The 26,553-nt window shown below is 34.0% G+C and overlaps 1 long non-coding RNA gene across 2 annotated transcripts in view; it reads left to right on the forward strand.

Moving 5' to 3' along the window:
* The window catches only part of LOC105377356 (uncharacterized), a 288,441-nt gene that overhangs the window by 112,967 nt on the left and 148,921 nt on the right, over positions 1–26,553 (forward strand). For both annotated transcript variants that reach the window (XR_939051.1, XR_939053.3), the window contains exon 3: positions 3,139–3,205. This is a non-coding gene — a long non-coding RNA (uncharacterized LOC105377356). The remainder of the gene's footprint in view (positions 1–3,138; positions 3,206–26,553) is intronic.

The following is a 26,553-nucleotide window of genomic DNA, read 5'->3' on the forward strand; positions in this document are numbered from 1 at the left end:
TCAAAGGGAATGCTTCCAGTTTTTGCCCATTCAGTATGATATTGGTTGTGGGTTTGTCATAGATAGCTCTTATTATTTTGAAATACGTCCCATCAATACCTAATTTATTGAGAGTTTTTAGCATGAAGGGTTGTTGAATTTTGTCAAAGGCTTTTTCTGCATCTATTGAGATAATCATGTGGTTTTTGTCTTTGGCTCTGTTTATATGCTGGATTACATTTATTGATTTGCGTATATTGAACCAGCCTTGCATCCCAGGGATGAAGCCCACTTGATCATGGTGGATAAGCTTTTTGATGTGCTGCTGGATTTGTTTTGCCAGTATTTTATTGAGGATTTTTGCATCAATGTTCATCAAGGATATTGGTCTAAAATTCTCTTTTTTGGTTGTGTCTCTGCCCGGCTTTGGTATCAGAATGATGCTGGCCTCATAAAATGAGTTAGGGAGGATTACCTCTTTTTCTATTGATTGGAATAGTTTCAGAAGGAATGGTACCAGTTCCTCCTTGTACCTCTGATAGAATTCGGCTGTGAATCCATCTGGTCCTGGACTCTTTTTGGTTGGTAAACTATTGATTATTGCCCCAATTTCAGCTCCTGTTATTGGTCTATTCAGAGATTCAACTTCTTCCTGGTTTAGTCTTGGGAGAGTGTATGTGTCAAGGAATTTATCCATTTCTTCTAGATTTTCTAGTTTATTTGCGTAGAGGTGTTTGTAGTATTCTCTGATGGTAGTTTGTATTTCTGTGGGATCAGTGGTGATATCCCCTTTATCATTTTTTATTGTGTCTATTTGATTCTTCTCTCTTTTTTTCTTTATTAGTCTTGCTAGCGGTCTATCAATTTTGTTGATCCTTTCAAAAAACCAGCTCCTGGATTCATTAATTTTTTGAAGGGTTTTTTGTGTCTCTATTTCCTTCAGTTCTGCTCTGATTTTAGTTATTTCTTGCCTTCTGCTAGCTTTTGAATGTGTTTGCTCTTGCTTTTCTAGTTCTTTTAATTGTGATGTTAGGGTGTCAATTTTGGATCTTTCCTGCTTTCTCTTGTGGGCATTTAGTGCTATAAATTTCCCTCTACACACTGCTTTGAATGCGTCCCAGAGATTCTGGTATGTTGTGTCTTTGTTCTCGTTGGTTTCAAAAAAGAGCCCGCATCGCCAAGGCAATCCTAAGCCAAAAGAACAAAGCTGGAGGCATCACACTACCTGACTTCAAACTATACTACAAGGCTACAGTAACCAAAACAGCATGGTACTGGTACCAAAACAGAGATATAGATCAATGGAACAGAACAGAGCCCTCAGAAATAACGCCGCATATCTACATCTATCTGATCTTTGACAAACCTGAGAAAAACAAGCAATGGGGAAAGGATTACCTATTTAATAAATGGTGCTGGGAAAACTGGCTAGCCATATGTAGAAAGCTGAAACTGGATCCCTTCCTTATACCTTATACAAAAATCAATTCAAGATGGATTAAAGACTTAAACGTTAGACCTAAAACCATAAAAACCCTAGAAGAAAACCTAGGCATCACCATTCAGGACATAGGCATGGGCAAGGACTTCATGTCCACAACACCAAAAGCAATGGCAACAAAAGACAAAATTGACAAATGGGATCTAATTAAACTAAAGAGCTTCTGCACAGCAAAAGAAACTACCATCAGAGTGAACAGGCAACCTACAAAATGGGAGAAAATTTTCCCAACCTACTCATCTGACAAAGGGCTAATATCCAGAATCTACAATGAACTCAAACAAATTTACAAGAAAAAAACAAACAACCCCATCAACAAGTGGGCAAAGGACATGAACAGACACTTCTCAAAAGAAGACATTTATGCAGCCAACAGACACATGAAAAAATGCTCATCATCACTGGCCATCAGAGAAATGCAAATCAAAACCATAATGAGATACCATCTCACACCAGTTAGAATGGCAATCATTAAAAAGTCAGGAAACAACAGGTGCTGGAGAGGATGTGGAGAAATAGGAACACTTTTACACTGTTGGTGGGACTGTAAACTAGTTCAACCATTGTGGAAGTCAGTGTGGCGATTCCTCAGGGATCTCGAACTAGAAATACCATTTGACCCAGCCATCCCATTACTGGGTATATACCCAAAGGAATATAAATCTTGCTGCTATAAAGACACATGCACACGTATGTTTATTGCGGCACTATTCACAATAGCAAAGACTTGGAACCAACCCAAATGTCCAACAATGATAGACTGGATTAAGAAAATGTGGCACATATACACCATGGAATACTATGCAGCCATAAAAAATGATGAGTTCATGTCCTTTGTAGGGACATGGATGAAATTGGAAATCATCATTCTCAGTAAACTATCGCAAGAACAAAAAACCAAACACTGCATATTCTCACTCATAGGTGGGAATTGAACAATGAGATCACATGGACACAGGAAGGGGAATATCACACTCTGGGGACCGTGGTGGGGTGTGGGGAGGGGGGAGGGATAGCATTGGGAGATATACCTAATGCTAGATGACGAGTTAGTGGGTGCAGCGCATCAGCATGGCACATGTATACATATGTAACTAACCTGCACAATGTGCACATGTACCCTAAAACTTAAAGTATAATAAAAAAAAATTTAAAAAAAAACAAAAAAAAAAACAAAAAAAAGAAACTTTCCCAATGGTCTTCTCTTTGTTAAATACTTTCAGGCTGGGTGCCTATGATCCACAAGTTTTCAATGGGCATGCTCCAGGTAGTCTTCAGGAATGCTTAAAGTCTTTTTTTTTATTAATATGGAGCAGTCATAATTGCTTACTTCCACATATCAGACTAATATGTAATTTTAGACAAGATTTGGAACAGCTTTACCAAGGTCACTGCCAGAGTTCAGGAAGACTGAGGACCTGTGTCTTTATTCTTTGTAGCATATGCCACCTCTCTTTTTTCCTTTGCTCTATTTCCCTTCTTATTCTGTCCCTCCTCTCTGTTTTTCTCATTCAGTCATGCAGTCATATATTTTTAGGCTTTGATTTTCACTGGCAGCAATAGTGTAATTTTTCACTAGTTTTGGCTTAGAGTTCATTTTGCTTTTCAGACTCACTTATCTTTGTTTCATTACCAATTGTAGCTTTGTCCATTTTCAGAGAGAAGCTATGAGAAAAGAGCTACAAGAGAAAAATGGCAGCATTGCAAAGTGCAAGAACACTGAAGGTATTGTGTAGAAATTCTGATGACTTCAGTATTTTTTTTTCCATTTTGTCCTTTATTATGTGTTGGTCTAAAAAAGAATGATTGATGAGTGGAAACTATGAATGGATATATAATAAATGCATAATAAATAACATCTCAACATTCCTATCACAACATTTAATAAAAGGAGCCCCAAGTGGAATATGTTTCTGAAGCTTCAATACTGAGTTGATAAACAGATATTCAATAACTGTATATTAATATCAATTGAATTGAAAGTCAGAGATTATATCTTTATAACTAGTAATATAATTAAACTCCATGTAAGACAGAAAAGATTAGCAGTGTACAGAATGTGTTGCTGAACTCTCGGGGGAGTTTGAGGAGTTGGTCACATCTTGGTAAAGCTCACTGGGATGTACACCACACTCTCCCCAAATCCAGGGAACTTGCAGTCCTTCTTGATTTCACCTTAGTCTCAGCACTGCACCAGCCTCAAGCCCCATCAGTCTTCCCATTTATTAATTTTGTGGCTCAAATTGTTCACAAGAGAGTCTAATTACCTTCATTCTTAATACTAATTCTATACTACAGGTCCTAATCATCTCTTGGCTGAGCTCCTACAACAGCCTCTAACCTCAACTTTTTACTTGTATTTTATTCTTTATTTTTCTTTATCTTCCACAAATCCCATTCCCAGATTTGTAACTGAAAGTATGGCCATGCAATAGTTCTGTTGAAAGCCTTTCAATGGCTCCCCAAAGCCAATGTTTTTCATGCTTTTCTCATTGCATAATCCTATCAGTAGATAGAACAAGATAAAACAAGAGGGTAATTAAATAAAAATATTTTCAAATGTTCTGCTACTCTTAGTTAATATTCTTATACAAAATAAATGTAGGGCAAGATTAACCACTAATGATGGTGGATATAAATCAATATTTCAAATACCTTTATTATTAATTTCTTTTTTAATTGATGTAATAATTATATATATTTTATGGGCTATAGAGTGATATTTCAATACATATTTACAATGTGTAATCAAATTAGGGTAATTAGCATATCCATTACCTTGAATATTTATTATTTCTTTGTGTTATGAACATTGAAAATCTTCTAGCTTTTTGAAAATATACACTAAATTATTTGTAACCCTACAGTACTATAGAACACTAGAGCTTATTCCTCTTGTTTAGCTGTAACTTTGTATTTGTTAACCAATGTCTACTTTCCCCCCATCCTTCTCAGCATCTACTGACCACTTCTGTGAGTTCGGTATTTTTTTAGCTCCTCTATATGACTAAGAATATGTGGTATTTATATTTCTGTGACTGGTTTATTTCACTTCACAAAATGTCCTCCAGGCTCATCCGTGTTGCTGTGAATGGCAGGATTTCATTATTTTTTACGGCTGAGTAGAATTCCATTGCGCATATATATATATATATATATATATATGTGGCGTTTTCTTTATTCATTTATCCATTGATGGGCATTTAGATTGATTCCATGTATTGGCTATTGTTAATACAGCTACAATAAATATGGGGGTCCAAGTTTCTCTTCAACGTAGTGATTTTCTTTCCTTTGGATAAATACCCAGTATGGGATTCCTAGATCATGTGGGAGTTCAATTTTTAGTTTTTTGAGAAACCTGCATACTGTTTTCCGTAACAGCTATACTGATATATATTCCCATAAACAGCAAATAAGAGTTTTTTCTTTTCTCTGCATCCTCAACCAGCATTTATTTATTTATTTATTTTTTGTCTTTTTGATGATAACCGTTCTAACTAGGGTAAGATGCTATCTTATTTAACTCTGATTTGCATTTTCCTGATGATTATTGTTGAGCATTAATCCCATTGGCCATTTGTATGTCTTCTTTTAACAAATATCTATTACATCCTTTGCCTATTTTTTAATTGATTTTGTTGTTGTTTTTGTTGAGTAGTTTCAGTTCCTTGTAAATCCTAGATACTAGTCCTTTGTTGGATGAATACTTTGAAAATATTTTCTCTCTGTAGGTTGTCTCTTCACTCTGTTGATTGTTTCCTATGCTGTGCAGAAGCTTTGTAGTTTGATGTAGTCCCATTTATCTATTTTTGTTTTGTTGCCTGTGCTTTTGAAGTGTTACCTCTAAAATCTTTGCCCAAACCAACGTCCTGAAGTGTTGTGCCTATGTTTTATTCCAGTAGTTTTATAGTTTCAGGTCTTATGTTTAAGTATTTTATTCATTTTGAATTGTTTGTATGTGGTGAGAGATATGGGTCTAGTTCTATTGTTTTGCATATGAATATCAAGTTTGCTCAGCACCATTTATTGAAGACGGTTTCCATTCCCCAATGTATGTTCTTGTTATCTTTGTCAAAAATCAGTTGGTTTTAAATACCTGAATTTCTTTCTGGGTTCTCTTTTATGTTCTATTGGTCTATATGTCTGTTTTTATGTCAATATCATATTGTTCTTGTTACTATAACTTTGTTGTATTTTTTAATGTCAGGTTGTGTGATGCCTCCAGCTTTGTTCTTTTTGCTCAGGATTCCTTTTGCTATTTGAGCTTTTGTGGTTCCATACAAATTTTAGAATTGTTTTTTCTATTTCTGTAAAGAATGTTATTTAGTATTTTGATAGGAATTGTATTAAATCTGTAGATTGTTTTGGGTAGTAGGGTAATTTTTACTATTGTTACAATATTAATTCTTCCAATCCATGAACATAGAATGTCTTTCCATTTTTTGATGTCCTCTTTAATTTCTTTTATCAATGTTTTGTAATTTTTATTGTAAAGATTTTTTACCTCCTTGGTTTAATTTATTCCTAGTTATTTTATTTTATTTGTAGTTATTATAAATGGGATTACTTTCTTAATTTTTTTCTAGCTAGTTTGTTATTTGTGCATAGAAATGCTACTGGTTTTTGTTAGTTGATTTTGTATCCTGCAAATTTACTGAATTTGTTTATTCTAAGAATTTTTTAGTGGAGTCTTGAAGATGTTTTATTTATAAGATTATGCCATCTACAAAGAGAAACAATTTGACTTTCTATTTTACAATTTGGACACTCTTTATTTGTTTGTTGTGTCTTTTGTAAGTTATGAATTATAAATGTACATATTTTGGGGGGTACATATAATATTTTAATACATGTATACAATGTATAATGACCAAGTCAGGGTAATTGGGATTTCTATCACCTCAAACACTTATTTTTTCTTTGTATTAGGAACATTACAATTCTCTTCTCTTTTAAAATAATAAACTATTGTTAACTATTATTTCTCTACTATGCTATTGAATTCTTGAACTTATTTCTTCTATCTAACTGTATTTTTATACCCATTAACCAACATATCCCCCCTTCCTTTTTCTTGCCTGTTTGCTCTGGTTAGGACGTTTAGTACTATGCTGAATAAGAGAGGTGAAAATGAACATCTTTGTCTTGTTTATTTCTTAGAGAAAAGGCTTTCAGCTTTTCTTCATTCAGTATGATGTTAGCTGTGGGTTTCTCATATATAGCATTTACTGTGTTGAGGGATGCTCTCTCTATATCTAATTTGTTAAGAAGGGATTTTGATTTTGAACAAATGCCTTTTTTTGCATATATTGAGATGATCATATGTATGGTTTTTGTTCATTCTGTTGATGTGATGTATCACATTTATTGATTTCTGTATATTGAATCACTCTTGCATCCTGGGATAATTTCCATATGATCACTGTGTATTATCTTTTGGATGTGTTCTTAGATTTAGCTTTCTATTATTTTGTTGCGAAATTTTGCAACTATGTTCCTCAGGAATATCGACCATAGTTTTCTTTTTTGGCTGTGGTCTTGTTTTGTTATCAGGGTAATGGTGGCTTCATAGAATGAGTTAAAAATAACTCCTTCCTCCTTATATTTTAGAATAGTTTGAGAAGAATTGGTGTTAGTTTTTTAAAAGTGTGGTAGAATTCAGCGGTAAAACCATTCAATCTTGGGTTTTTCTTTCTTGGAAGATTTTTTTCTTACAGATTCAATAGTTTTACTCATTATTGGTCTGTTCAGATTTTCCATTTCTTCCTGGTTCAATCTTGGTAGGTTATGTGTGTCCAGGAATTTATTCATATCCTGTAAGCTTTTTAATTTGTTGGTGTATAGTTGTTCAAAATGGTCTCTAGCGGTTCGTTGTATTTCTGTGATATCAGTTATAACGTCTTTTTTTATTATGATTTCATTTATTTGGTTCTTCTCTTTTATTTTTAGAATAGCTAACGATTTGTTAATTTTGTTTACCTTTTCAAGAGAGATTACTTTTTTGTTTCAGTGATCTTTTGCCTTATTTTTCAGCCTTTGTTTTATTTAGTTCTGCTCTGATCTTTTTTTTTCCCCCCTTCTGCTAATTTGGGGTTTGGTTGGTTCTTGTTTTTCTAACTTCTTGAGATGCATTGTTAGGCTGTTTATTTGAAATCTTTCTACTTTTTTGACTTAGATATTTATTGCTGTAAAATTCCCTCTTAGTACTGCTTTTCCTGTATCCCATAGATTTTGGTATGCCGTATTTCCTTTTTTGTTTGTTTTAGAAAAATTTTAAACTTTTTTTCATTGACCTGTTGAACATTCAGGAACATGTGATTTAATTTCCAAGTATATGGGCAGTTTTCTGAGTTCCTATTGCTATTGATTTCTAGTTTTATTCCATTGTGGTTGGAGAAGATACTTGATATTCCACCTTCTTGCTGATGTCACTCATGGCTAATTTCTTTTCCAATTCATATCTCTCATGCTTAATACGGTATAAGATATAGAATAAAGAAGTAAGAAACGTGATAATGAATATATATTACATCAGTATAATTGATATAAAGAAAGACTGCTATTACACATCTGATGTAATGATATATACCAAGATGAGTGGTGGTGTGTACGAGGACAAGAGCCAAAGATTAAAACTCTTTCAAGAGCTAGGTATAATATAGGGCAAAGTTTTCCTAATTCTAATTCATTTCTCAAATGTAATTTGTTAACTGTGGGTATTAAAACCAATCACTCAAAACAATATTGCTCTACTCATTAAGAAATATTTTGGTAGAAATGTGTCTTTCTATGTAAATTTTCTGCAGATAAGAGTATAAAGAGTCAAATGAACATTATAGTTTCATCATTTAAAAATTTATATTTTAATATAAAATGATAAATTGATGGTCTAAGTTTACCTATCCCAATAATATAAATCTGACATCTGTGTTAACTGATAATCAAATTTCCAAAAGTGCAAAGTTAAAAAGTGTAACTTAGACTTGAGTTAACTTCACAAAATTATTGTTTTAGTATTTATAAAACAGGTTATAATATAATCAACTAGTAAAATTTGGAGTTCTATAGGCAACAACATATTTTCTAATGTTACATATGAAATAAAATAGGAATCATGACTTTTGCACAAATGGGGAGACTTTTTCCAGTTAGTATTTTAGCCATGTGGAATCTACTATGTTTTATTTAAAAAAAAAACCCTAAAATACCTGTAATATGTTTCCTACTGTTGTTGTGCTATTTAGAGATAGGGCTGAGACCTAGGGTGAATATGAGAGAGTATTCAAAACTGAGAGAGTTGCAACTGCTATTGTACAGAATGTTTACATAGGGAACAGAATACTAATAAAAGGACCTGTGGTTAAAAACAGAGATTACTAGACCCAGACAAATAATTGGCTCTCTGTTTGAAGCCTGACACTTGAGTGCTTGGTTACACACAGAGACCAAGACATCTTTGCAATTGGTATTAAAAATCATGACTGAAGGAAATATCAATTTCAGACCAAAATGGTATGGTTCACAACAGAGGTCAGTAGAAAGACAACACAGCATTAGAAGATGACAAAGGCATGTTCCTTAGCTATTACTAGCCAATGATTCAACATTTCCCAGTGAAGACAGTTGGAAATCAATGGCAAAGCCATATTAGCACTATAGTTTATTAAAAATACACACACACATAAACACACTTGCACACACATTCACATGTATTTGTACTGAAGCTATATGTTTAGAAAATCATAGACCTTATCATTAAAAAAACTTTTAAAAAATATATAGTTCTGAGTCAAAACACAACTTTTGGTATGGCTAAAATGAGTTGTCTGAAAAACAAAAGAACCTAAATGAAAATTTTAAGCTAGAATAAGATGCTTTTAATTGGCAGAATTGGTGAGCAGTGCACCTGGTGTTTAAATAGTTCTCTGTTGAACTCCAGCCCTATACATTCAGTACCACTTTATATCTAATACAGATAACAAATTTTCTCCCCCATCAAACCTGTTTTATCCACATTCTCATACCTATCAAATGTATGGAAACTCAATATTTCCAGTTGCTTAGGTCAAAACCTTAGAGTCATACTAAATATTTTTTACACCTCATATCTAAACTATCAGGAAATTCTGTTGGTTCTACATTCACAATATTGCTACTACCTTATGACTTATCTCCACTGCTACCACCCTGTCAAAGCCACCATCATCTTTCACTTAGATTATTACAATAGTCTTTAAACTACACTCCTTCATTCCATCCTGTCTTATTAACTATTTTAGAAGCACCAAGAACAATGACATAGCTGATCTGTAAATACCTGAAGAATGAATGAATATAAAATTTTTATTTACTGTGCTTTATATAATACAGGCACTCATGGTGTTACTGAGGGCATCTCAATCACTCAGCTGTGACATTGACAGTTACCTTAAAAAATTGAGACAAAAATTATGAAACATTTAATACACAAAATTTAAAGTAATATCTGTATAGTTTACAGAAAATATTGAAATAAACAACTAGAAAACACAACATTGACCAGTATCTTTGAAGCTTTCCATAACTGTCCCCATTTTCCCTAAAAAATTCACTGCCTTGTATTTTTATTACTCCCTAAATTTTCTTAATCAATTAACCACAGATACATGAAACTATAAAAATGTAATATTTAATTTTGTAATGTAAAGAATCATCCTCAATTATTTCTACAACTTACTTTTTTCACCCACTCTTTTACTTGTCCTATAATGTGCAACTTGGTATATGTAAAGTCTTTCCAAAGGGTACAAAACCACATGTTACAATTGATCTGTCTATAAGACAGTTATAGGTATTCCTTTCCCACCTATACTTTTACAATAGTCTTTTTTTCCTTTACAAAAGAAAGACATCCCTGTCCTTACAATGTTACGTAGTGTCAAAACCTTCAGGGATTCAAAGCAGGGACAGTTAGTAATATCGGACTTGAGAAAGTGAATTAATCTATGTTTGGCCTGAAACTGTGAAGTGTCTGAGATGTTACTCTTATTGCATGGTTTTATATACTCTATATTCACGTGCATGCATATACATACATGTGTGTGCACACGCACACTCACAAACACACTTAATCATGAGACCTCAGGACTAGAGACAGACTTATGCTTACTTACCAAATATCTTGCTTCAATTTCCGCTGGAGAGACATGGTAACTGCAGATAATACCTGAGTATATAGTGGACTTTGTACTATATGAGAGTAATATGGTTTGTCTGTGTTCCCACCCAAAACTCAGGCTTCAGAGGGTGGAAACCTCAAGCCTTGGCAGCTTCCACGTGGTGTTGAGCCTGTGAGTTCACAGAAGTCAAGAATTGAGGTTTGGGAACCTCTGCCTAAATTTCAGAGGATTTATGGAAATGCCTGGATGTCCAGGCAGATGTTTGCTGCAGGGGCGGGGTCCTTATGGAGAACCTCTGCTAGGGAAGTGCAGAAGGGAAATGTGGCGTTGGAGTTTCCACACAGAGTCCCCACTGGGGGCACTGCCTAGTGGAGTTGTGAGAAGAGGGCCATTGCCTTCCAGACTCCAGTATGGTAAATCCACCAACAGCTTGCACTGTGCACCTGGAAAAGCTATAAATATTCAACACTAGCTCGTGAAAGTAGCTGGGAGTGGGGTTGTACCCTTCAAAGCCACAGGGGTAGGGCTTCTCAAGACCATGGGGGCCCACCTCTTGCATCAGCATGACCTGGATGTGAGACATGAAGTCAAAGGAGATCATTTTGGAATTTTAAGGATCAGTGACTGCCCTGTTGGATTTTGGGCTTGCATGAGACCTCTAGCCCCTTTTTTTGGCCAATTTCTCCCATTTGGAATGGGCGTATTTACCCAATGCCTGTGCCCACATTGTATCTAGGAAGAAGCTGACTTGCTTTTGATTTTACAGGCTCATAGGTGGAAGGGACTTGCCTTGTCTCACATGAGACTTTGGACTTGGACTTTTAATTAATGCTGGGATGAGTTAAAACTTTGGGGGACTGTTGGAAGTGCATGATTGTGTTTTCAACTGTGAAGACAAGAGATTTGGGAGGAGCCAGGGGCAGAATGATGTGGTTTGGCTGTGTCCCTACCCAAATCTTATCTTGAATTATAGTTCCCATAATCCCCATGTGTTAGGGGAGGGACCAGGTAAAGATAATTAAATCATGCAGGTGGTTTCTCTCATCCTGTTCTTGTGATAGTGTTAGTTCTCATGAGTTCTGATGGTTTTTGTAAGGGATTTCTCCCTTTGCTGGGCACTCATTCTTTCTTGCCTGCCACCATGTAAGATGTGTCTTGCTTCCCCTTCATCTTTCACCATGATTTTAAAGCCTCCTCAGCCATCTAGAACTGTGAGTCAATTAAATCTCTTTCCTTTATAAATTACTCAGTCTCAGGTATGTCTTTATTAGCAGTGTGAGAACAGACTAATACAGAAAGAAACCTTGAAATTATACGTCTAGAAACATATAGAGCAGTTAGAACAGTTAATCCTCCTCCCCTATGGGGATAGAGATAGAGATAGAGAGCTTTGCTCTAGAAGATAAACAAATCCTCTCCAAGGAGAAGAGCTGAGATTCTCTAGGTTTACAATTCCTTGTATGTAAACAGATGTCTCCAAGGAAAATGTTACTAATCTCTCTGCAGGTCTGTATCTTTAACTCTCAAGGCTTATTTGTCATCCATTCTTTATCAAGGTTGCTGATAGTGGTAGTTTTTGTTAAAAAAGAAAAACTCTTTCTGTGCAGAAATATGAAAATATTCATGAAACATTGTTTCCTAACAATCTAGGGACAGGAAGTAAATTGTTTTAAATGCCTTTTTAAAATCAGGCGGTTCCCCATTCTTTGTTTTTAAAGAATTTCAGGGAATAATTGAGTTGCAGCTGATAGATCATTACGAATTATTTGTATGATAGATTAGTTGGTAATTTTGGCAGATGACGCAGAAGCTCAGAAGGAGTTCAAAGATTTGAGCAATATTACTATTAAGAAAATTTTCCATTTCCACCTACTTATTTATATGACCACATGTTGACTGAATTGTATAAAAATGAAAAATAGGAATAGAATTGATGCTGACAAATGTCTCATGCTAAAAAATTTATGTGTAGATACATGAACTTATTGAACACAAAGTCTCATTAAGAGATCTATTTCTACCAAAATATTGTTATAATTAATAATCATCAAAATCTGTAATACATTTATGTTGTTTAATCAGTTGTACACTATTAAAAAATGTAATGATAATCTATTCAGGCAAGTTTTTAACCCCTAACTCAGCTCATTTGTAACATCTCAGAGAACTTTTATAAGTAATTGTCCTCTTACCCTCACCCACACACACCCTTCACATGCAAACACAACAAACAAACATTTTTTTATGGTAATAACAGCAGTGTATTTATTTCTCAATTTTCTTATCTCTGTCCTTCTCTGATCTTAGTGAGCTTGTGATTGAGTCTTAATTTTGGTATATCCAGAGCCTATCACAGTACCTAACAGAGAATGTATGTATAATAAGTGTTTTGCTAAAGGGATATATACATAAAGAGGGGAAATCAAAGCAGACTGCAGGAATCTGGAAGTTATGAAGGAGTCCCAGAAGTGGCACCTATATTGGACTTATATTGGAACTTATAGTAGAATTGATATGATGTTCATAGCTGGCATACACATTCTACAGAGGAGCACAAACAGAATGAGCTTATTTCTTGAAAAATTGTTGTACATGTGTTTTTTCCCCTACCAATGTTTTGGTTGGAATATTATGGCAGAAAAAAAGCTGCAGTAATGTCAAGGAAGTCACAATTTGCTCCATTTTCACCCAGCTCCAAAACAGAAATTCAATTGGGGCTTGTTTTTTCATTCCTCTCATCTTCAAAAAAATGTATTATGAGTCACCTAAATTAATCTTTAAGAGAAGCACACATGGAGATGGATTGGATTGTCTTTTAAAAATAAATTGAACTTTATTAAAACCACAGGTTCAGTAGTTGGTATTAAGTAACGAACCAAAAAAGCTCAATCGGCTTAGTAATAGCCTGACAACCACTAGTGAACCAGCAAGTTATTAATGTCTCCAATTAGTAGTTTTCCTACATGTGTGATCAATTAAGCTAAATCTCCAAATTAAATCCCAATAGTGTTTGTTTATTTCTCTTTAAAGGGTGGTCTGGAAAGTCCAACTTGCAAGATAGACATACATTTTTCCTAGAGACTTCAACAACATTTAAATTAGAGCAAAGTTTGATTATTTAATAATAATAATTAAAATTGTCCCCATAAAAATATTTATTTTTGCTTTCTTTAAACTCTATTCCAGCCATCCAGGAGATAGCATATATGAACAAAGTGACCCAAACTTTTTAAATATGGCTTTTAATATCAGGACCTTACTATTTTAGTTTTCCAAGGGAATGGTCCCATAGAATATGCTACTGGGATATAATCATGGAGTAACCACATCAGACGAATCTGGTTCAAGTTTTTTTTAAATTAATTAAGTTTTTTTTTCAGATGTAGTCTAACTCTGTTACCAGGCTGGAGTGCAGTGGCATGATCTCGACTCACTGTAACCTCCGATTCCCGGGTTCAAACGATTCTCCTGCCTCAAGTAGCTGGGATTATAGGCATGTGCTGCCATGCCCAGCTAATTTTTGTATTTTTAGTAGAGACGGGGTTTCACTATGTTGGCCAGGATGGTGGTTCAAGTTTTATGAACAAAGTTGTAAGTTGTTTTTCAGTTGCCATGGATTTTCCAGTTAAAGGTCATGTAACCTGAATATGCCCAGATGAACCAAATGAGCAACCACAGGTGGAATGTAAGTGCTTGGACTGAGGAGCTGGGACTGAATTAAGAAGCAGATATCACATGGCAGGATTCAGGATTTAATCAGATTGAGACCTGGCATCACCCCATAGTAAGACCCAGTCAGATTATGCCTTTCAGCATCACCTCGTTGCAAAATCCAATCGGATCACACTTCATTACTGTATGTTTATAAAACTTGACCCAAACCCCAGCTTGGGGAGACAGATTTGAGCATTTCTTCCCATCTCCTTGCCAGTTGACTTGCAATAAAGCCTGTCTTTTCTCAAAGGCTGGTGCTACGTTATTCCCTTCTATGCACATTGGACAGTGAGTTTATTGACTGCTTGCTAATGATGGTACTAATAAAATATTGCCAGCAACATTGCCAAGAGATAGAAGTGTAAAAACTAATGGAAAAGTGAATACTCTATACCAGTATTAAAGATATGAATATTAAATACCAGCTGTATTCTCTCGTTTTGTGAGCCTTTTAGTTATGCTAAAATGAACTTAAGGGAAAAAAGGAAAAATGGCAGCTATTATTAACATAGATAGGCTATACTAACACATTAAAGTCAATTGTAATACCTCCTCTTTCATTACTATGATGTTCATAGCTGGCATATACATTCTACAGAGCTTATTTGTATCCTCTCTCTTCTTTTCTTGGTTAATTTTGCTAATGGTCTATCAATTTTATTTATATTTTCAAAGAACTGGCTTTTTGTTTCATTTATCTTTTGTATTTTTTTTGTTTCAATTTCATTTAGTTCTGCTCTAATCTTGGTTAATTCCTTTCTTCTGCTGGGTTTGGGTTTGGTTTGTCCTTGTTTCTCTAGTTCCTTGATGTGTGACCTTAGACTGTGTATTTGTGCTCTTTCAGACTTTTTGATAAAGGCATTTAAGGCTATGAACTTTTCTCTTAGTACTGCCTTTGCTGTATCCCAGAGGTTTTGATAGGTTGTGTCACTATTATTGTTCAGTTTGAAAAAGTTTTTAATTTCCATCTTGATTTTATTGTTGACCCAATGATCATTCAAGAGCAGGTTATTTAATTTCCATGTATTGGCATGGTTTTGAAGTTTCCTTTTGGAGTTGATTTCCAATTTTATTCTACTGTGGTCTGAGAGAGTACTTGATATAATTTCAATTTTCTAAATTTATTGAGACTTGTTTTATGGCCTACCATATAGTCTATCTTGGAGAAAGTTCCATGCACTGATGAATAGAATGTATATTCTGTGGTTGTTGGGTAGAATGTTCTGTAAATATCTGTTAAGTCCATTTGTTCCAGTGTATGGTTTAAATCCATTGTTTCTTTGTTGACTTTCTGTCTTGATGACCTGTCTAATGTTGCCAGTGGATTATTGAAGTCCCCCACTATTATTGTGTTGCTGTCTATCTCATTTCTTAAAACTACCGTTTGATCCAGCAATCCCACTACTAGGTATCTACTCAGAGGTAAAGAAGTCATTATATGAAAAAGATACTTGCACATGCATGTTATAGCAGCACAATTTGCAACTGCAAAAATATGGAACCAGCCCAAATGCTCATCAATCAACGAGTGGATAAAGAAACTGTGATATATATATCACACAGTTCTGGACATGTTATTCCCCTTTTTAAATTGCTCAATATTGTCTCCTAATCTGTAGGATAGAATCCCACTCCTTGATATTCTGTATATGTAAGTTTTTCCATAATCTTTTTCTTGTCTAACTCTCCAGGCCAACTCTTAATAATCTCTACACCAACATTTATGGTCAGCAACTCCGAACTGCTTGTAGGATGATTTTGCTCAAAATTCTCCTGCTTTTCTTAGTGGTTCTCAAACCCAGTAAGTCTTCCTGTGGCTACTACAAACCAACTAAGTAATATGGGTCTCCTGTTTCATTAGAGGATCCTGTGTTTCCCACTGTTTCTACATTGTTTTATAGTTGATTATCACATCTGCTTCACCCACCAGATTGTGATGCATTTTAGGTCAGGGATGCCTTGGTCATCTTTGTTTCCATAGCATTGGGTACAGTGCATGACACAGAATAAGCAGTTAATGGAATAGACCTTGAGAAATGGGAAGGATTTTAATGAAAGCAGCCTTTTGCCTTTCTGTATTTTAATGACAAGATAGAATATTATGCCCTGGAAGGGATTATAAGATAAACTTTTTTTTTGCATTTTTCCCATAAGATAAGGGAAATATTTTCTAAAAACAGTGTTAAACACAAAGGACTCAATGAGACTAATATAGTCTAGGCTACATAGCCATAAAAAAAATAAAAAAATAAAAAAACCATCCTTTTTTTGGTTGTTTTTGTTGTTGTTGTTTTGCAGCAACATGGATGGAGCTGGAGGCCATTAGCCTAAGTGAATTAATGCAGAAAAAGAAAACCAAATGCCACATGTTCTCACTTATAAGTGGGAGCTAAACATTGGGTACACATGGACACAAAGAAAAATAATAAACACCAAACACCAGGGCCTACTTGAGAGTAGAGGGTGGGAGGAAGGTGAGGATCAAAAACCTACCTATTGGGTACTATGCCTATTACCTGAGTGATGAAATAATCTGTACCCCACACCCCCATAACATGAAATACCCATGTAACAAACATGCACATGTGCCCTTTGAATCTGAAAGAAACTTTGGAAAGAAAAAAGAAATAATGTTGATAAAGAATCAAGAATTCTCTTACGTTATTATGACTCAATAGTACTCAAGTGTCATGTTTAATTACATATGAATATATAGTAGCTGATAATCAACTTCATAGAAGCCTATTTATGGCTCCCTTACATTTGATGATGTTACTGTTCTTTTGTTCCTTCCCTAGGAGAATGTATAGAGGAAACAGAATGTGGAAAAATTACTCAATTGTGCTAATTGTTTCAATTCTACTACAAGGGTCTACTTATTTTGATGTAAATGTTAAAATTATTGGATTAAACTAGGACTTTATTTATGGGTTTTAAATATCTATTTTATTCCTTCATTCAGTTATATGGCTAGCAGGTATGCTGCAGGGCGTCATATGTCCTGGAGCTCACACAATTTCAGAAGCCTTTTTTTTTTTTTTTTTTTTTTTAGAAAAAAAAGCATGAAATTAAAGACATAAAATTAAGCACAAAAACTTGAATAGGGTCATTGCTAGTGAGAGGTCCTACAATTTAAGATTTGTTAGCTTCATGGTAAATCTGTACATGCTAGAATTTAAGTATTATATATTAAAGTACTATTCATTTTGACTATTTCTTGTGTTAATTTCAGTAATACTACCCTTGAACTCAGAGGCAACCTGGTATGAACACAGCTTAGTTGAAACGACATTAAGTGATGTTAATATTTTGGGATTCTAGTTGATAACTAGAATTAAAGTGAATAACTAGAATTAAAAATAACTAGCAGGAAAATGATAAAAGGACTTATTCTCCTTTGAGTCAAGAAATTCTAGCTCTTAATTCCTAGACCACAGCACTGATCAGAAATGCTGCTTGTTATTCCCATACTCTACATGTATCACACCATTGTGGAGAGCAGCACATAAAGGCTCTATTACTTGCCTCCCTTTCCCACACATGTGCGAAGTAAGTAAAATGGTTGAGATATTTTAGAAATCATGTTAATGGATCAGTCACTGTCAAACTGGTGTAGTCCACTATTCTAGGATGTATTCTGCCACTTAATTAGTTCAAAAAAAAAACCCAGACATAAATGAACTCTGTATCTTAACATATTTGCTGATACCAGTGACCATATCCTTTAAAGTAGACTTTTAAAAATGGTTTTGATACTTAAAAATATTGGGAAGATAATATAGAGAATAACCATATACCCCAAACAAAATTTTTCCTATTATTAGCATTATTTAGATGAGTATGGTACATTTGTAACAATAAATACTGACACATTATTCACTAAAGTCCATACTTTATTCAGATTTGCTTAGTTTTTGCATACTGTCCTTTTTGTATTCCAGGATTCCACCCAGTATACCACATTACCTTTGTCCTGTCTCTTTAGACTCTTCTTGGCTGTGACAGTTTCTCAGACTTTCCTTGTTTTCAATGATCTTGACAGTTTTGAGGAGTTCTAGTCAGGTATTTCATAGAATGTTCCCATATTGGAATTCGTCTGATTTTTTTTTTCCCAGGATTATACAGTGGCTATGTGTTTTGGGGAGAAAGACAATAGAAGTAAAATGCTACCCTCAACACATAAGAGTATATGCTATCAACTTGACTTATCATCATTATTTTTAACATTCACCACCTGGCTGAGGTAGTGTAGGAATATCTCCTCCACTATAAAGTTACTCTTTTTTTCTTCCTCTTCTCATACTGTATTCTTTGGAAGGAAGTCTCTATGCACAGCCCACACTAAAAGAGAGTTATATTCCCCACTCCTTAAGGGTGGAGTATCCACATAAATTCTTTGGAATTTTTCTACATGGGTGAATTTCCATTATCTTTCATATACTTATTTATTCAGTCACTTATTTATATAAGCATGGAGTCAGGAATGTTTGTTTTATATTTGGGGCAATAATACAGCACTACTTCATGTTGCTCAAATTATTGCAGTTTTGGCCATTGGAATATCTTTCACTTGACTCCTATGCCTCCATCAATATAAGTTTTTTTTTTAATTTTATAAAGTCCTTCCTTACTTTCTGGCACCACAAGATGTTTCAGGCTTATCTTATGCACTTCCTCCCCCATTCCTAGAATCAACCATTTATCCAAAGAGTCCTGGTTCTTTTTATTGGAAAATAGTATTAGAAAGCAGGATCTGAATTCTAGGCATGCTCTTTGCTTCCAGGGCACCATTTCTTTTAGGCTCTCTTTTCTGAAAGGGCAAAAAAATATGTGTGCATTAACTGGTCTATATATACGTAGAAATAAACATTTCTATATGTAATTAGATCATCTATATTATGATAAACATAACTTCTTATTGACATCTGCAATTCTAACTCACATTATTCAAGCCTCTTCCCCTTGCTTATCTATAAGTTACCATTCCAACAGTGAGAAAACTGGCCATTACCACTTGCCATCCATTTATTAGTTGCTCAATTCCAGGTCACACATATAGTAGTATCAATATTATTAATCCATACCCAAATGGAAAACAACTAGAATACAGCATTCATGTGCAGTTTGTTTTGCTTTAAGTTTTACAGATTGTACACATTCCTCAGATTACCGAGGTATGTACCTTTTCCCAATCCCTTTCAATGAGTTATTTTTTTTCTTCGATACGTTTGTAATATAGTGAGGGTTTTTTTTCCCTACAGTTGGGATATTTTCCTGGAATCTCATTACTTCCTAAATAATTTTTTATTTGTATACATTAAGATTCACTTTTTGTGCTAGAAAATTCTGCTAGTTTTGATAAATACATAATGTCATGTATATGCCGTGACAGTATCATACAGAATCGTTTTGCTACCATCAATAAGCACATTTTAATAAAATTATCTTGCTTTTGTTCAATGAAAATCATTCCATGTCCATCTTTATGTACTTAATTTAAGGTTGTATAAGTCTGGAAGAGAGAAGAAATCACAAGATAAAAAATAAAGCATCAAGTAGAAAGAATTCCCAGACATCCAGAGTATAATTGCTTTAACATTATTGATCTGAGTTCACGAGATAAATAATTTTACTTCCAAAACTGTGTTCTCAATTCTTCATGTAAAACTCCTTTATTTTCTCCTGGGAGACTGTAAACTCCGGGGACTTTTTTTTTTTTAAAAAAACCTTTCTTAAATGCTACATGCCGAGAAGGCAAGTAAACCGAAATGGAAACAAACGTAGGTCCTGCACAAGTTCAAATTGCTTCTTAACCTTGTAAAATCACACCCACATTGGGGCAATACAAATATTCTACAGTGCTTAGCAACTTTTTTTTTCTGATTTTAGAAAACAATAAACTAAATATATCTACTGAAACATTTTTTATGACAATTTTTTTTAACAAATGAAGAAAAAAAGATCTTAGGCTGAGAGCCAGTTACTAGTCTATGCTTTGCATATTTTAACTGATTTTATAGTCATAATAACTAAATAATGTGGATACTATTTCTATCCTCACCGTTCTATACTTACCCTTTATAGATAGAGAAACTGAGGTGTATGGAGATTCAGTGACTTGCTTGAAGTCACACTGATATTTATTTTCTCAGTAAGCAGTGGGTATGACTATTGGAAACTAGTGTTTCTCTTCTCCTTCAATCAGAGAACTGTAGCCTGGAAACATTTTCTAGACTAAGAAATGTCTCAACTTTTATCTCAAGTAAGACTATGATGACATAAGAGAATATTCAAGACAAACAATGGCTCCACTAAAATACTGACAATGACTTTCTTTTGTGTTAGATGTGGTAATGGTATGGAGAAGATTATGCAACATCTGTCAGACAAAGACATTATTTGAGAGAGTGGAACCAGAACATGGATATATACTAATAACCAGATATCCGGCTTCCTTCCCAAATTATACTTCATTGCACAGGAAAGACAAGCAGCTGGGTTTTGGATTGTGCAATATACTTATACTGCACTAAAACAATGACAAAGACCACATATTAGATTGTGACATCTCTTGAAATTTTACTGTCTCTACTAATAATCATCAATTTTTAACAACCAATACAGACTCACTTTTTTTAAAAGTGCTAGTATCAAAGAAATGTGAAAATTAATTTATGTACTATAGATCAGTGTATGTATGATACAACAAGTAAGGAGTATTCCTGAGATTCATTCTACAAAATAAGTGAAGATTAAATGAGTATAAGGAGGGGTACTGAAGTAAGTATGAAAATTGCAATAAATTTGGTAAAGACAATAGAAACACATGTAAAAATGGAAGTTTCTTGTAGTGAGTACCAGATAATGTTTAGAGAAACTCAGAAATGAAAGATACTATAATTATAAGTAAACTTGGCCATTCAGATGGCAATTTGAATTTTAACAGGTATGAATTCACTCAACATCCCCCTCCTTGGCCCCAGTTTTATTTTTATCTTTATTTACCATTTTCTTCTGCTTTCCTATCTCAAGAGAAGAAATATATAGATTAATACCATCATCAGAGAAAGTTCCTTTATGTCCTTTTCTAGTGAATTTCCAAATGATGTACATTGAGTTCTTGTACCTCCAGATCTACTCCTATTGGCCTGTCTCATTCTTCTGCCATGTGAATGTTTAATCATCTTTCAGTGGTCCAGCTCAAATATCATCTCTTCTGTAAAGAGTATTTTCCCTTTCCTAATTTTGGAAAGATATTCTTCCTCTTCCATGTCCTCAGCATTTTGTTAAAACCATTTGCAATTCACCTGGGAAGTGGTTAGAAATTCAAATTCTCAGACCCCACCAAAGTCCTACAGAATTAGAAACTATGGGGATGGGGCCCAATAATGTGTGTTTTAAATAAGGTGATGTACTCTCAAATGTTAGGAGCCACTACTTAGGGCTCTGTGGCTTTGTGAAAGTAGTTTAATCTCTCTGAGCCTCAATTTCATCATCTGTAAAATGGGAATATCATCACTTCCTTCTGGTTATAGATGTGAGAGAGAGTTTACTAGGTAAGGAGTGAATGGTGGCCAGGCAGGTTTACTCATGCCTGTAATCTCAGCACTTTGGAAAGCCAAGTTGGGCGAACCGCTTTAGCCCAAGTGTTCGAGACCAGCCTGGGCAACATGGGAACATACATTCTATCTGTAATGAGGAGCCACCGATGGATTGACTACATGTTTCCTGAGAATCAAAGGAAAGAGCTTTTGTTTCTAACAGTTTTTCAACTTCAGTTCAGGCTAAACTTCTGTTCTTATGCCTCTGAGAAAGCCTGTTGTAGCCTGGAATAATTCTTTTTAGATGAGGTGGTTTGGGTGGGTTTCTGTTTTTTGCCCAAACAAACAAACAAACAAACAAATGGAAAATGCTTTGCTTAGGACCCCACACAGATGAGACAATCCATTTCTCCTGTAACTTGTATTTCTCAGAATTCCTGTTGTTAAAAGCATATTGACGAAGCATACTAACTCTGGAGTTATAACATCAGTGATTAAATTCTGACTCAAGCACTTACCTTGAGTAACTCAATTTCTCTGTGCCTCAATTTTCTCATTTGTAAGAAGGGATAATAATATTACTTGCTCCCTAGAGTTGTAAAATTTAAACCAATTATTATAAGTTAAAATATTTTTAAAAATGCATTATATATACAAGCTTTCAGTGAATGTTACCTATTAAAATGTAAGGCTACCCATACCAAAACCAAAACAAAAAAACCCCAAAGCTCTATATTTGCAGGAAATTGATTCTGGAAAAAATATTTGTAAAATAAGGGATTTTACCTTTTCCTTTTGACCTGCAATGATCCAAATGCCTATTATATTTTGGACTAAGGCATTTGGACAAAGGTATCCCCTTTCATGTGAGAGAATGAATGGTGTGCTGGGGGTATGAAAAAAGAAGGTGGTGATAAGTAAGCAGGAAAGAAAGTTTCAGAAATTTTTCTCCCCCAAGGGGGAAACAAACCAAATATTTAATATTTTTAAATGTGCAGATGTTAGATTATATTTTTATTATGTAATCAGATTGTTTTAAAAGTAGAATAAATTGCTTTGGTTGCTTCTCTGTTTGTAAAAGAACTGTAACAGTGATCACTTTTGAAATATCTTCAGGTGTGTCCAAAAACCTCATCCTATAAAGAGTCTAAGAATGGTTCTGTCATGTGGCATGCAAAAGGAGAAAGCATTCCTCACGATCCACCAACTAACCTGCCCAAAGTACCTCATGACAACTGTCTATTTTAAAAATGAAGATTTTCTTCTTTTGACATAATTCCAAGCCAAATACTAAAAGCATTTTATTCCCTTTCAATTGTCAGTGTTTCTTAATCAACTCTAGAAGAAAAACAATTAGTTTAATTGCATTGCATATAAAAATTACATGTTTGGCTTAGTTTTTATACAAAGTCTTCAGTTTTATCTTTTTAACCGTTTCCTATATTTGCCAAATTGCCTTGGAAATTCATCCCCACCCCCACTCCACCAATGCAATCACAATTTTTATTTTTTATTATAGCAACGAATTTTGACAGCCATAGGTCATGGAGTTCTGAGACATCCTGGATCAATTACTAATGTCTGAGTTTGATTTTAGCCATTTTTACATATGAATAGAGACTAATGTTTCTGTCTTCAGTACAGATGTTTTCCTTGGCTGCTAAAATAGATTGTTGCTTTTTTATTGCTGCTGTGTTTTATTAAATTGTTACTTTATTTGTTTAAAAGATAGGTTACTTATAGGTGGTTAAGACAAAACTGTGAAGTAATGAGCAAATAAGAAAGCAGATATCTAATTCATGTCATGTATTCCTAGTCATAGTGGGTAGAAAAGGACATAATATAACACTCTATGAAATGGCTTATAAACTACGTGTTATACCAAACCTATAAAGCAATGTCTCCATACTCATGGATGAGTTGCATCAGAAGATAATTTGAGAATGAAACAAATCTTTCTGCTTCTCGTTTATGATGATGATGTAATTCATACCATTTCCGTGGATAATTTTTGTTCTCTTCAAATGGATGAATGTTTATTGAATTTGAATGAAATCACCGAGAAAAGAGTATACATTTGAGTTGCTGCAAACTTTTCAAGTAGTTTTGTATCAGTATTAAAATAATTGGAGATATTCCAGAGTAAGGTCAGAATTTGTTTTCTTTAAATATTTGTCTCCTATGAGCTCTATGATATTGCACATCCTGCCTTATCTTTATATTACAAACAGTATGCTCAGTGCCTGCCATATTCTATACTCTCAGTAAATGAAAAGTAAAAGAATTAATGAATATGAATATATCTGGAAGAAAAGTACTAAAAAAGTCTCTTTTCAAGCTTCCACACTTAGCTAATTGTGCCTTTAAACTATAGATCTGGATTAAAGATAAAGAATTAATTCATTTGTTGGAAAACCATCTCTTTATGATGTTTCTTTGCATTTTATTTGCTAGAGTAAATACACAGCATAAGTACTTACTAAGCAAAAGACTAAAAGATAGAAGATAAAGCCAATGAGATATCTAAAATTTACATAAATAAGATGTGGTCTACATAGAGGAAATGCTGGAGTTTTTTACATTATTTAGATATAAAATTGGTGTAAGTTTCTTCCTTTAAAAATTCTTGGGTATGTCAGGCAAATATAGCATATTATTTGGTGTAAGAACTGGGTGACTTAAAATAATATCAGCTCATAATTCATCTTTTGAAATATTATTTAGCCATATTCTTTTATTGCAGGGTCAGTAAATTTCAATTAATTTGAAAACAATCTTTGAGAGCACACACATTCTATTTATATATATGTACTTATAGAAGTATATTTGATTACATAACTACATTATAGCTTTATTTCAGTTTACATTTACACTCCAAATGAGTGTAACTCAGTTATTTATGCCTTCCATTTCTATAACACAATATTTATAAACCCTCATGATATAAGTAGCCGCAAAACAAGGCAATATTATAAAATAGTTTTTGGATTACTGGAAAACTTTCAATTAGTACAACTACAGTGTAAAATTTAATGTATTGTATTTTAATTTATTGAATATAAAGGAATAAGGATGGTACAGTTAGAAGCATCTGGTTACTTCACGTAACCACCTCCTATTCCTCAGATGTTTTAGTTAAGCATTCATTCAGTATACACATATGGTTCCTTAAAGTGTATTTTAAGTCAGTTTTACTGTGGCATACAATGAAATGCACCTATTTTAAATGTACAGTTTGATTAGTTTTGCTGTATGCATACACTTATGTACCTACCATCACAATCATGATATAGAAAATTTCTATCACTCTCAGAAGTTCCATTGGGCCTCTCACTAGTTAATGCCCCAGCCAACTCCTGATGCAACCAAAACTATATGCTTGCTTTCTATCATTATAGATTAGATCTGCCTGTTCTAGAATTTTATATCAATGGAGTGATAAAGTATATACTTTTTTGAATTTCACAGCTTTTACTTAGCACAATGATTTTGAGAGTAATCCATGTGTTGTACATGTCAACAGATTGTTCTTATTGTTCAGTAGTATTCCATGCAGTGGTACTCCTTGTACCACAATTGTGAATTGTACCGTACTTTATGAATCCTTTCACCTGGTGATGGACACTTGTATTATTTCTAGTTTTGGCTGTTATGAACTAAGCTTCTCTGAATATATTCATGTACAGGATTCTGTGTGGCTTACCCATTTCTCTTGGGTAAATATTTAAGGATGGAATTGTGGGGCTGTATGGTAAGTATATGGTTTACTTTATAAAGTAGTACAAAACTGTTTTCCCAAGAATTTATGCCATTTTACAATCCCATCAGCAAGTTAAGAAAGTTCCAATTGCTCTACATCCTCATCAATACTTGCTTTTGTCATTCTTTTAAGTTTTAGTCTTACTGTGTTTTTGTCATTTTCCTGATGAATAATGATGATGGCATCTTTTCATGTGCCTATTTGTCATTGTGCATCTTCCTTTGTGAAGTATCCGTTCAAATACTTTGCCCATTTAAAATTTTTTTGCTTGAATTATTATTATCGAGTTTTACAAGTTCTTTATATATTCTGGATCGCACTTGTTTGTCAGATATATGCATCTATATATATATATATATATGTATATTTACTCCGTGGCTTAATTGTCATGATCTTAATGGTTTCTTTGGAAGACTTCAATATATAATTTTTAATTTTGTATTGATACTTTATGTTGCACTACTTATGTAAATTTTGCCTCTTCTGAAGATTTTCTTCTATATATTATTTTAAAAGCTTTGTATTTTTAGATTTCGTGCTTAAATCAATGATATGTTTCAAGTTCCTTTTTTGTCTGTGACGTGAGACAAATCTGAAGTTTATTTTTTACACATTGATGTCAAGTTGTTCCAGGACTATTTGTTGTAAAATCTGTTCATTATCCCATTGAATTATCTTGCCACATTTGTAAAAAATTAGTTGACCTAGTAAAGAAGTGTCCATTTCTGGATTACATTCTGTTCCATTGATGTCTAGCAATACCTCATTGTCACATTACTGTGATTTCATAGCAAGTCTTAAAATCTAGTAGAAGTTGTGAAATTTTAGAATTATCATTTGGCTTTCCCTATACATTTTAGAATAAGCTTATCAATTTCTCTAACAAGTCTGATAGGG

This window comes from Homo sapiens, chromosome 4 (genome assembly GCF_000001405.40).
Source record: "Homo sapiens chromosome 4, GRCh38.p14 Primary Assembly".
In the NCBI taxonomy this organism is placed as follows: Eukaryota; Metazoa; Chordata; class Mammalia; order Primates; family Hominidae; genus Homo; species Homo sapiens.